The sequence below is a fragment of the Homo sapiens genome, chromosome 19, assembly GCF_000001405.40.
Source record: "Homo sapiens chromosome 19, GRCh38.p14 Primary Assembly".
Lineage (NCBI taxonomy): Eukaryota > Metazoa > Chordata > Mammalia > Primates > Hominidae > Homo > Homo sapiens.
Genome location: NC_000019.10, coordinates 36,003,112 through 36,014,587, shown reverse-complemented (window position 1 = coordinate 36,014,587; position 11,476 = coordinate 36,003,112). Strand labels below are relative to the sequence as shown.

Sequence of the window (11,476 nt, the reverse complement as noted above, 5' to 3'; positions counted from 1 at the left end):
CCTCCCTGCGGCGTGGGCAGGTGATGGCGCTGGCCGCGGGAAGTCCTTCTAGCAGCCTCTCATGTCTTCCCGCGGCTGTCACGGCTGCCGCCCCCGTCCCACCCATCGGGGTCCACTCCGCCAATGGCCAGGTTCAGTTCCTAAGTTCTGAGTGGCCAGTGCCAGACGACGATGCCCCGCCCACGCCCTCCTGCCAATGGCTCAGAGGCCAGGAGGCGCGGCCTATCCTTAGGCGAGCATGAAGGGGGCGGGCGAATACTGAGTGAGAGCGCCGATTGGGTGGAAGGCGGGCCCTTGAAGCCTCTGGGAGCTCCCATTGGCCTGCGGACTCTGCGTCTGTAATGTGGGGCGGAAATGGCTGGGAGGGGGATGGGGATGTTGAATTTGGAAATTGGAGGGGACGCTGGTGGACGGTCAGTTTTGGGGAGTGCTGGGGGTAGAGATGGATGTCAATAGGGCTGAAAGTGGGGATCCGGGGGAGCCCAGAGTAGGAGTCCGAGGAGGCTCAGAGCTTGGAGTCCTAAAAGGCTCGGAGTCGGGGATCTGAATGGTTCAGGGAGGGAAGAAGATTTGGGAGTCAGCCTCAGAGCTAAAGATCTCAGGGTGCTGGAGTGAAGGGGCGCTCAGGAGGGGAAATCCGAGGGGCGTCCAAATGGGGGGATCCGAGGAGGCTGAGGGTGGACATGTCTGAGGAGGCTCAGATTGGGGTCACAGGAGTGCACAGAATGGGATTCGGTGGGGGGCGGGGGTCGCTGAGTGTTGATAGCCGGGCTCACAGTTGCAGGTCTGAAGCGGGGTCTCAAGGTGTTTAAAGGGGCTCTGGAGTGCAGCCCTGGGGGCTATGTGTAGAGCTTTTGAGAAAGGCTCCCTGTGTGTGGGGCCAGAGAATGTTCTCTGTGGGAGGATTGAGAAGGCATATGTGTAGTTGGATGGGCCCTTAGTGGACAGAGTAATGGGGGATTATTCTTGGGGCTCATTGTGTCCGGGCATGGAACGTAGGGGCTCTCTGTGTGGCTTGTAAGATGCTGAAGACTCAGATTTTAGAGACCAAGTGCGTTTCAGAAGAGGGCTGAGGTGAGGCCTGGCCTGTGATGGGGTGGAATGCTGCATCATGGTGTTAGGGCGGGAGGCCTAGTGACTTCAGTATGTCCTCCCCTCCCTACAGGATTGGGTGCAAGGAGTTGGTGTTGATGGAGGAGCAGGACGCCAGAGTCCCAGCCCTGGAACCGTTCAGAGTGGAGCAGGTTGTCAGAACTCAGGGTGCAGAGGGTGAAGGAGGCAGGCTGATTCCTGAGTTCTTGGGTTGGGACTGCCCCCTTCCACCAAATTCATTCTTACTGTCAGAGTCCATTCTGGAATGGCACTGGTCCCTTGACTTTAGACCCTGACCTGTCTGAGGACATCCTGAGCCTGTCTCCAGGCATAGGGGTTGCTCTGTGATGATATGTCCTCTGTGTGGGTTGAAGGGCCACACCTTCAGGGGGTCTTTCTATCCTAGGCACCACCTGTAATCTACTATGTCCCTGACTTCATCTCCAAAGAAGAGGAGGAGTATTTGCTTCGACAGGTGACCTCAGTGCCCTACTGGTCTGTTTTCCCACTCTTCCCATATTCCTCCCCAATGTCCATCCTCTGTATGAGAGCCCCCAAGGCTGCAGTGAAGACCCCGACAGAAGGAACAAGGAAGTTACAGAGCTCATACTCCCTCTACTGAGATAGCCCAATCCTGCTAGCTTAGAGAATAGGGGGTTATAAACATAGGCTGAGATAGCCCAGTTCAGATCATTGAGACTGGGGAGTAAAGAATTTTGTATTCAGATTTCTGTGCTGAGATAGCCCAGTAAACTCTTTCCTGTGCTAAAATAGCCCAGCATAGACCCAGAGCACAATAAGGTTACCAAATACAGACCATCTACGCTGAGATGGCCCAGTCTGCATTCTGTTCTTAAGGTTTGGGGAAAGAAGAATTTTCAAAGCTCAGAGTTCCTGCCCTTTGCAGCCCCAGTGCCTAAGTTACAGAGCACAGATCTTCCCTGTGTTGGAGTAACCCACTGATCTTGAGTCCAGGAAAAAATTAGCTACAGAACACAGACTTTTTTGCTGAGATAGCCCATTCCAGACCTTTGCGTTCTTGGCATTGAAAAATCTACATATTATAGAATTCCTGGGCTGAAATAGCCCAGTACAGCTCCATAACCATGAAGGGAATGAGTAGATTATCAACTAGAGCTAGACTTGTTGGACTGAGATAGCCCATTCTAGATCATTAGGATCTTGGCAGTGGAAGATTTTCAAAGTACTTTCTTTGCTGTGCTGAGATAGCCCAGCTTTGCATACTCCCTCCCCCAGGCAATAGGAACAAGTCGGTTGCAGAACTCAAACTGTCCTCAGAGAGCCCAGGAATCAGGAATTTTTGTTTGTTTGTTTTTTGAGACAATCTTGCTCTGTCGCCCAGGCTGGACTGCAGTGGCGTGATCTCGGTTCACTGTAGCCTCCGCCTCCTGGGTTCAACTGATTCTTGTGTTTCAGTCTCCTGAGTAGCTTGGATTGCAGGCGTGTGACACCACACCGCCTCCCAGGTTCAAGCGATTCTCCTGTCTCATCCTCCCAAGTAGCTGGGATTACAGGTGCATGCCACCATGCCCAGCTAAGTTTTGTATTTTTAGTAGAGACGGGGTTTCCCCATGTTGGCCAGGCTGGTCTCGAGCTCCTGACCTCAAGTGATCTGCCCGCCTCGGCCTCCCAAAGTGCTGGGATTACAGGCATGAGCAACCAGGTTTGGCACGGAATCAGGAAATTAGAATGCAGACTATTTGCTGGGCTGAAAGAGCCCTGTCCAGCCCCAGAACTCTGAGTAGATTGTGAGACCCACAACTCTCAGACCACGGTTGTGCAGCCCTGATTCCTAAATCCTGGTAGACACAGGTGGGCTTTGGGGCCAAAGGCGTTCCCAGGAAAAAAGGCAAACCACAAAATCCTAGGAACCCACCGCCCCAGGGAATGGTCCCACAGACACAGATGACCCATTTCCATCCCGGAGGTAAAGGCCCCTATGTTGGTCTAGGTGGGAGGATCATAGAGGGGTGATCCTGAGAAAGGAGTGACCCCCTTCCCACCTCTTAGGTTTTTAATGCCCCAAAGCCAAAGTGGACCCAGCTCTCTGGGAGAAAGTTACAGAACTGGGGTAAGTATCCCTGGCTGGGGGCAGGAGTGATTCTGGGATGTAGGCTGGGGCAGGGGACTCAGGTCCAATAGACTTAAGACATCAGAGGGTCCCTGACAGCTCAAGGGGCCCCAAGAGCCAGGAGGATTCTGAAGGGGTCAGTGGAGGTCCTGAGGGATTAGGGATTTCCTGATGAGTTGGGAGTATCTGAAAGGGACCTGTGGTCTGGAGAAGTGAGGAAACCTCTGAAGGACCCAGTGGCTATCTCCAAACGGTCAGGGGTCCCTGAGAGGATCAGGGTGCTTCCAGCCACTGTGGAATCCCTAATGGGGGATCTATTGCTATAGGGGGGCCCTCAGGACCCCATTGCCTTCCCCAGGTGGGCTTCCTCATCCCCGAGGGATGGTTCCTGAGCGGCTGCCCCCATGGCTCCAGCGCTACGTGGACAAAGTGTCAAACCTCAGCCTCTTTGGAGGCCTCCCAGCTAACCATGTCCTCGTGAACCAGTATCTGCCTGGGGAGGGCATCATGGTAACCACACACCCTCGGCCCGTGTCCCCCCACTCAGACTTCTGAGCTGTGCTGGGGCAGGGGACTCTGTACCCACCCTCACTCATTAGGCAGCCACATCTCCCAAACAGGCATTCACCTCCCTGTCCCTGGCTTGGGAAGCCCCCCTTTGACCCAGAGGGTGGGGGTTGTGGACTCCTGCCCTGCCCAGCCCTGGTGCCCACTCCCTAGCCCCACGAGGACGGACCACTGTACTACCCGACTGTCAGCACCATCAGCCTGGGCTCCCACACCGTGCTGGACTTCTACGAGCCGCGGCGGCCAGAGGACGATGACCCTACAGAACAGGTGGGCCCCCAGACACTGCCCCAGCTGCTTGTAGGCACTTCAACCTCGCACATCCTCCAAGATGACCTGGTCCCACATGCCTTCGGGGTACTCCTGGCACTCTCCCAGATACCTTCCCTTGTCCCCTCATGGGGTGTACCCACTTCCTCCCAGACACCCAACCCATCTGCTTACAGGGTGTCTGTCCCACATGCCATGATTTTCACAGGCTCCCCGATGCCCCAACCTGCTGAATGGATACCCCTGACTCCCCAGCAGACACTGATATCCTTAGATACCCCACCGCCATTAACTCGGGGGGCCTCACCTCCTCCCAGATGCTCTATCTGCCCCTGCTCAGGGTGCCCCAGACGTCCTGCTACTCCAGGAATGTGATTTGGGGTGCAGGACACCCCCAGATTCTCCTTGACCCCTTGACACAATTTCTCTGAGTGATGCATTTCTAGCACCCCAGTGTTCACAGAAACGCCCCTGAACACGCCGACCCACTCCTTGAGGCTTGCCCTCGAGCCCTGCATGCTCCTGGATGCTCTGACACTCCCTCAGCTGTGCGGTTGTCCTCTAATGTCCTGATGTCCTTGGGAACCCCCACTGCCTCTAACCTCTGCCTCACTCTCTCCTCACCTGGTCCTGGCTTCAGCCATGCTCTCTCAGCCCAGCTCTGCCTGTATTTCCTGGGGACTGCCTATTCCTGGGTCCCAGCCCCAGCCTCAGCCCCTTTGAGATCCCAGCTGCAGCTCCCACCGGCCGCTGACCCTTTGACGCCCCCATCTGCCACCTAGATCCTGCCCCCTCCCGAGGGACGGCAGAGCCCTCGCCCTCCCTTTCCAGCAGCCCCAGCCCAGGCCCCAGCAATTTTCACTCCTGAACCACCAAAGCCTCCATCATTGTGAGCACACTTGCTCTTCAGCTTTTGCCCCTGGGGACTAGCTGATCCCCGGAGGCTACCGACCTCTCGCCCACCCCCACCCCCCGACTTCTTGAGCCCTGCTGACCCTCAACCCGCCCTGCAGCCTCGGCCTCCGCCCCGGCCCACCACCTCGCTACTGCTGGAACCGCGCAGCCTGCTGGTGCTCCGCGGCCCCGCCTACACGCGTCTTCTCCACGGCATCGCCGCCGCCCGCGTAGACGCGCTGGACGCCGCCTCCTCGCCGCCCAATGCGGCAGCCTGCCCGTCGGCGCGGCCGGGAGCCTGCCTGGTGCGCGGCACCCGGGTCTCGCTGACCATCCGCCGCGTGCCCCGCGTGCTGCGCGCCGGCCTCCTGCTGGGCAAGTGACCGCCAGGGCCGGGACCCCTCGGATTCCCAGGTTCCTGCCCCTTTGGGGCTGCTGTGACTCCGCGACCTAGGAACCGTGGGCAAAGGGGGCTCCCCTGGGTTATTTATTTTCCCAATAATTTTGTGTGAGCTACAGAAGACCCCATACCAAATAAACAAAAAAATCTTTCCTTGGTTTTATATTTTTATTTTTTAGGGGCCAGATGCTTGGTTTCCTGAGGGGAGCGGCATCTAGGGTCTTAAATGAATGGGGTAGGCCCTGGAGGTCCGATTTCTGGGTTCCCAGTGGGGCAGAATCCAGGGCTCTTGAGGAGGTGGCGCAGGGGTTCTATCTGGAACCCTCTTGGATGGCGTGGAGTGATGCTGGGAGATTTAGCTACTGGCCTGCTAGGGAGGAAGGAGTTAAGTGACTCTTCTGTCACCTGAGCTGGGCATCAAATGGCCGGGTCCAGGTTCCTCTTGGAAGGGGCGGAGCCAGACCTGTCCTGGGCCTCTCCTGCAGCCTCAGGCCCGGGTGACTCCAGCGGAGGAGCTCTGGGACACCCTTGTCTAGGGAAGAGGTCTTACTGGCTGCCCTCACCTGACTTTGTGTCCCCAGGCCCCCAGCCATGGCCCTGTCCCTGCCTCTGGGCCCTAGACTTGGCTCAGAGCCCCTCAACCACCCACCGGGAGCACCTAGAGAGGCGGACATTGTTGGATGCACCGTCTGCCCCGCGTCCGGAGAGGAGAGCACGAGGTGGGGGCCGGGGCTTTGGAAGCTTGTTCCCAAAAGGGTAGGCGTGGTGGCAGGGGCCATGTGAGGGTAGGAGGTGCCATGGCTGTGATCGCCTGGGGACATAGGAGAGGCCACCAGGGTTGGGGTGACGGTAGGCTGAAAAGTGAGGTGTCGAGACTCACCCAGTCACCGCCCCCTGCCTCCTAGCCCAGAGCAGGCCCAGACCCTGGGACAGGACTCCTTGGGCCCTCCTGAGCACTTCCAGGGTGGGCCAAGGGGCAATGAGCCTGCCGCTCACCCCCCGAGATGGTCAACACCCTCTTCCTACGAGGACCCAGCTGGGGGCAAACACTGTGAGGTGAGCTGAGGTGACCCAGACCCCTTGTGCCAGCCCCACCTCCTCTCTGTCCCCTGGAGTCTGGCCTCCATACTGAGGACCGGGTGATGATTCTGGAAAGGTGTTGGGTGTCTGTAGGGGGAGGGACCTTCTGGAAAAGTGTTTCAATATCTGACCAACTGGGGAGACGTATTTCTTTCTTTCTTTTTTTTTTTGAGATGGAGTCTCTCTGTCACCTAGGCTGGAATGCAGTGGTGAGATCTCTGCTCACTGCAACCTCCGCCTCCCAGGTCCCAGTGATTCTCCTGCCTCAGCCACCCGAGTAGCTGGGATTACAGGCACATGCCACCATACCTGGCTAATTTTTTGTATTTTTAGTAGAGATGGGTTTTCGACTTGTTGGCCAGGCTAGTCTCGAACTCCCGACCTCAGGTGATCCACCCACCTCAGCCTCCCGAAGTGCTGGGATTACAGGCGTGCGTCACCGTGTCCAGCCATATTTCTTTTTTATTAAAAAAAAAAAAGTAGAGATGATGTCTCACCATGTTGCCCAGGCTGGTCTTGAACTCCTGGGCTCAAGTGATCCTCGGGCCTCGGCCTCCCAAAGTGCTGGGATTACAGATGTGAACCACTGCGCCCGGCTGAGAAGCATTTCATCATTGCTCCTGGTGTAGCCCCATTCTTCTTGGGGGGTACCCAGCCCCGCTCCCTGTCCAGACCCCCCAGGCCTCACACATCCAAGTTTCCAGGAGCTTTGAAAACCTGGAGACCTTGAACTAGATATCTGTCCTCAGGCCTGGCTCCACTGGGAAGGCCCCCCCAGTGGGAGCCATCCTGGTGCAGACAGACCCGGAGATGGACTGTGCCACAGAGAAGTTTCCAGAAGCTTACAGAAGAGGGGTGGGGATGGGAGCAGGGGTGATATCTTGATTGGCCCACTGGCCCTGACCTGGCTCCTGTGTTCCCCAGCACCCCATTTCTGGCCTGGAGGTACTAGAGGCTGAGCAGAACAGCCTGCACCTGTGCCTGCTGGGGCTGGGCCGCCGGCTGCAGGACCTGGAGCAAGGCCTGGGGCACTGGGCATTGGCCCAGAGTGGGATGGTGCAGCTGCAGGTAGGCAGGAGAGGCCAGGATGTGGGGGTGGGCACGGCCCCAGCAGTGGGTGCCAGCTTTCCGGGATGGGAAATGGGTTGAGTGCATGTTCCAGGCCTTTGGATAGGAAATGGGGGAGGGGGGTAACTCCAGGTTTTGGGTCCCTGGTGTGTGCGTGGGGTGATGTCCATATGTCCCCAGGCCCTCCAGGTGGACCTACGAGGGGCAGCTGAGCGTGTGGAGGCGCTGCTAGCGTTTGGTGAGGGGCTGGCACAGCGGAGTGAGCCCAGGGCCTGGGCAGCCCTGGAGCAGATCCTGCGGGCCCTGGGAGCTTACCGAGACTCCATCTTCCGGCGGCTCTGGCAGCTGCAGGCCCAGCTGGTCAGCTACAGCCTGGTAGGGCCCATCTTGATACCCCCCACCCAACCCAGGCCCCAACCTCATAGCCTCCATGACCTCTGTCCTTTGACCCAGGTGTTCGAGGAGGCCAACACGCTGGACCAGGACTTGGAGGTCGAGGGAGACTCGGACTGGCCAGGACCTGGTGGGGTCTGGGGGCCCTGGGCACCCAGTAGCCTCCCCACTTCCACAGAGTTGGAGTGGGATCCGGCGGGGGACATTGGGGGCCTTGGGCCCTTGGGACAAAAGACAGCCCGGACACTAGGAGTGCCCTGTGAGCTGTGTGGCCAGAGGGGGCCCCAGGGCAGGGGACAAGGCCTTGAGGTGAGAGCAGACCCCCTTGAGGGACCTTCTGCCAGGCACCCTGGGGACATCTCTGCGCACCTTCTAGCAAGATCCTGCCCTTCCAAGGAGGTGTCAGTGGCTCTGTCTCCCCCTCTATCTCTGTCTCTCGGTGTCTCCTTCTATCTCACTGTTTCTCTCTCTCGTCTGTCTCTGTCTACATCCTCAAGCCCCATCTCAAATTCACTCCTATCCTGAGGCCCCCAGATGATGCCCCACTCACCTCCTGACTGTCCCAGTCTCTCCTGAAGTGCCACCTCTTCAGGGAGGCCTGTCGTGACCTCCAAACATGAGCACTCCTATCTTCTTACTTTATTTCCTAACAGCACTCACCACAGCTTGACTTTGTACATTTACTTATTTTTAAAAATTTTTATTTATTTTTTGAGATGGAGTCTCACTCTGTCACCCAGGCTGGAGTGTAGTGGTGCAATCCTGGCTCACTGCAAACTCTGCCTCCCAGGTTCAAGAGATTCTCCTACCTCGGCCTCCCGAGTAGCTGGGATTACAGGTGTGCACCACCATTCCTGGCTAATTTTTGTATTTTTAGTAGAGATGGGGTTTCATCATGTTGGCCAGGCTAGTCTCGAACGCCTGACCTCAGGTGATCCGCCTGCCTTGGCCTCCCAAAGTGCTGGGATTACAGGCATAAGCCACTGTACCAGGCCTCATTTACTTATTAATTTATGGTCTCTCTCCTGTCAAATATAAGCTCCACGGAGGCCAGGAATTTGCCTATTTCCATCCCCACTGTGTCCTCAGCTCCTAGAACAGTTCCTGGCTTGTAACAGAAACTCATTACACATTTATTGAATGAATGAATAAATAATTCTCTCCTCTCTTGGTTTCTTTGGCTCTGCCTTTGTCTGTCCTGTGAGATCTCTCTGCTCCCCCAGAATCTCATCTCTATGACATCCCTATCCTGGCCCTCCCCCAACCACGTTTTTCTTTGTTGCTGGTTCTCCAGGAAGCAGACACCTCTCACTCCCGACAGGACATGCTGGAGTCTGGCCTCGGCCACCAGAAACGCTTAGCACGTCACCAAAGACACTCCCTGCTCCGGAAGCCTCAGGTGAGCCAGTTCTCAACCAGGTGTAGCACTCAGGAATCTTGATGGCAAGTGACAGAAACCCAAGAAATCAAAAGGCACAAGAAAGGGAATGCTATTAAAAAAAAAAAAAGTAATGGAAAGGTCCAGGCACTGTTGAATTCAGAGCCTGAAGTAATACCAGGGCCAGGCCAGGCGCAGTGGCTCACGCCTGTAATCCCAGCACTTTGGGAGGCTGAGGTGGGTGGATTACCTGAGGTCAGGAGTACGAGACCAGCCTGGCCAAAATGGTGAAACCCCGTCTCTACTAAAACTACAAAAATTAGCCAGGTGTGGTGGCGCATGCCTGTAATCCCAGCTACTCAGGAGGAGAATCGCTTGAGCCCGGGAGGCGGAGGTTGCGGTGAGCCGAGATCCCACCACTGCACTCCAGTCTGAGCAACATAGTGAGACCCCATCTCAACAAAAAAAAAAAAAAAAAAAAAAAAAAGAAAGAAAGAAATAACATCAGGGCTCAGTCCCTCCCTTTCTTGGGCTCTAAGTCCCCAAGGTGGCTTCCTTCTTAGCAAAATGGGTGCTCCAGTGGCTACACTGCCACTCCCACTGGTTTACCCACCCCAGGGGAAGGAGCATGCCTCCGACCCTACTGACAGCTGCCAAAGTCCCAGGGCTGACTCCCACTTACCGGATGGGGTCATGGGCTGCACCTTGAATAAACCAGAGTGCTCAGATTGGCCAGGTCTGGGTCACACCAATCATGGAAGTTGGGGAGGTGGCTGTCAGCTTCACTTGAACCTGAAGGTCTGGGAGTGGAAGGCATGACAGCCGCCCACCTCCAATTAAGGCACTGTTATCAGAAAAAGGGGGATTGTATTGGATAAAGGACAGACACAACCAGACATCCACTACACTTGGAGATATTCCAAGTCTGTGTGGGGTCCTGGGGATAAGGAGGTGCCAGGAAAGGAGAAGAAATAAGACCAGCTTTGTAGGTCTATCGTAGTAGGGTAAAGGTGACACAAAGTGTCACTTGTGGCTGGGCACCGTGGTTCACGCCTGTGATCCCAACACTTTGGGAGGTCAAGGCAGGAGGATTGCTTAAGGCCAGGAGTTCAAGACCAGCCTGAGCAACATGGTGAGACCTGCCCCCTCCCCCCATCTCTACAAATCATTAAACAAAAGTAAATGGTTGCAGTGGCATGTGCCTGTGGTCCCAGCTATTAGGGAGGCTGAGGTAAGAGGATCACCTGAGCCCAGGAGGTTGGGGCTGCCATGAGTCGTGATTGTGAAACTGCACTCCAGCCTGGGTGACTGAGACCCTGTCTCAAAAAATAATGTGTCGGCCAGGTGTGGTGGCTCATGCCTGTAATCCCAGCAGTTTGGGAGGCTGAGGTGGGCGGATCACTTGAGGTCAGGAGTTTGGGACCAGCCTGGCCAACATGGTGAAACTCCATCTCTACTAAAAATACAAAAATGAGCTGGGCATGGTGGCACCTGTAGTCCCAGCTGCTCGGGAGGCTGAGGCAGGAGAATTGCTTGAACCCGGGAGGCTGAGGTTGCAGTGAGCTGAGATTGAGCCATTGCAGTCCAGCGTGGGTGCCAAGAGTGAGACTCCGTCTCAAAATAAATAAACAAATAAAGCATCATTTCTATCCATTCTGCTGCTGGCTGCTCTCCCTCCTTAGGACAAGAAGAGGCAAGCATCTCCTCATCTCCAGGATGTGAGGCTGGAGGGGAATCCAGGGTGAGGTGCCTGAGAGATGGGACTAGGGTGTGGGGGACAGAGCTCCTAGCAGCAGCCCACCTGTATGTTTAACACTGCATTTCCCTTCACAGGGCCCCCGATCCTGCATCCAGGCAGCCTCTGACCTTCCTCCTTATCCTCTTCCTCCTCTTCCTCCTCCTGGTGGGTGCCATGTTTCTCCTGCCCGCGTCAGGAGGCCCCTGCTGCTCTCATGCCCGAATACCCAGGACACCCTACCTGGTGCTCAGCTATGTCAATGGTCTTCCCCCAGTCTGATGTGTGTAATAAATGGTCACTGTCAAAGGATGTGTGAAGATACTAGGTGCCTTCATACCCGGAATCTAGGATGTGGCCTGGATATGTCTGGATGGACCCTTTTGCCTTGAGAACAGAATACAGAACTGCATCAGCCCATCTTGGGTGGGGCTGCCCCAGACCCTGACACAAAGAGTCAAGCACCAGTTCTTTATTTAGGCGTGGCAGGGGAGCCAGGACGTGAGC

General features: G+C 56.2%; 2 protein-coding genes and 1 long non-coding RNA gene across 18 annotated transcripts in view, besides 2 other annotated features; 2 read left to right on the top strand and 1 right to left on the bottom strand.

Annotated features, from left to right (window-relative positions):
• LOC101927572 (uncharacterized) overlaps positions 1-86 on the bottom strand; it is a 36,616-nt gene extending 36,530 nt beyond the window's left edge. For both annotated transcript variants that reach the window (NR_170988.1, NR_170987.1), the window contains exon 1: positions 2-86. This is a non-coding gene — a long non-coding RNA (uncharacterized LOC101927572). The remainder of the gene's footprint in view (position 1) is intronic.
• Positions 87-348: 262 nt separating this feature from the next.
• On the top strand, positions 349-5,468 carry ALKBH6 (alkB homolog 6). 6 transcript variants are annotated; one of them, NM_001297701.2, is made up of 8 exons: positions 375-413; positions 1,000-1,074; positions 1,166-1,244; positions 1,499-1,567; positions 3,124-3,184; positions 3,543-3,694; positions 3,905-4,021; positions 5,035-5,468. In NM_001297701.2, the coding sequence occupies exons 3-8, from the start codon at positions 1,191-1,193 to the stop codon at positions 5,296-5,298; spliced, it is 717 nt and encodes a 238-aa protein (NP_001284630.1). In that variant the 5' UTR covers positions 375-413; positions 1,000-1,074; positions 1,166-1,190; the 3' UTR covers positions 5,299-5,468. The 6 variants fall into 6 exon arrangements, with proteins under 6 accessions (NP_942567.1, XP_047295523.1, NP_001284630.1 ...); NM_198867.1 differs by lacking the exon at positions 1,000-1,074 and having other exon boundaries at positions 349-413; positions 3,943-4,021; positions 5,035-5,467; NM_032878.5 differs by lacking the exon at positions 1,000-1,074.
• Positions 5,522-6,061: an enhancer, noted in NCBI's record as "H3K27ac-H3K4me1 hESC enhancer chr19:36499429-36499968 (GRCh37/hg19 assembly coordinates)". NCBI's record gives its function as "activates a minimal SCP1, AML or CMV promoter by ChIP-STARR-seq in primed H9 embryonic stem cells {active_cell/tissue: H9 hESC(primed)}" and the evidence as "EXISTENCE:reporter gene assay evidence [ECO:0000049][PMID:30033119]".
• SYNE4 (spectrin repeat containing nuclear envelope family member 4) lies at positions 5,775-11,281 on the top strand. 10 transcript variants are annotated; one of them, NM_001039876.3, is made up of 8 exons: positions 5,775-6,034; positions 6,221-6,371; positions 7,320-7,463; positions 7,644-7,838; positions 7,917-8,165; positions 9,151-9,255; positions 10,917-10,975; positions 11,068-11,281. In NM_001039876.3, exons 1-8 carry the CDS (start codon positions 5,907-5,909, stop codon positions 11,249-11,251), a joined length of 1,215 nt encoding a protein of 404 aa, NP_001034965.1. In that variant the 5' UTR covers positions 5,775-5,906; the 3' UTR covers positions 11,252-11,281. The 10 variants fall into 10 exon arrangements, with proteins under 10 accessions (NP_001034965.1, XP_047294301.1, XP_047294300.1 ...); XM_047438345.1 differs by lacking the exon at positions 6,221-6,371; XM_047438344.1 differs by lacking the exon at positions 7,320-7,463.
• Positions 6,062-6,603: an enhancer, noted in NCBI's record as "H3K27ac-H3K4me1 hESC enhancer chr19:36498887-36499428 (GRCh37/hg19 assembly coordinates)". NCBI's record gives its function as "activates a minimal SCP1, AML or CMV promoter by ChIP-STARR-seq in primed H9 embryonic stem cells {active_cell/tissue: H9 hESC(primed)}" and the evidence as "EXISTENCE:reporter gene assay evidence [ECO:0000049][PMID:30033119]".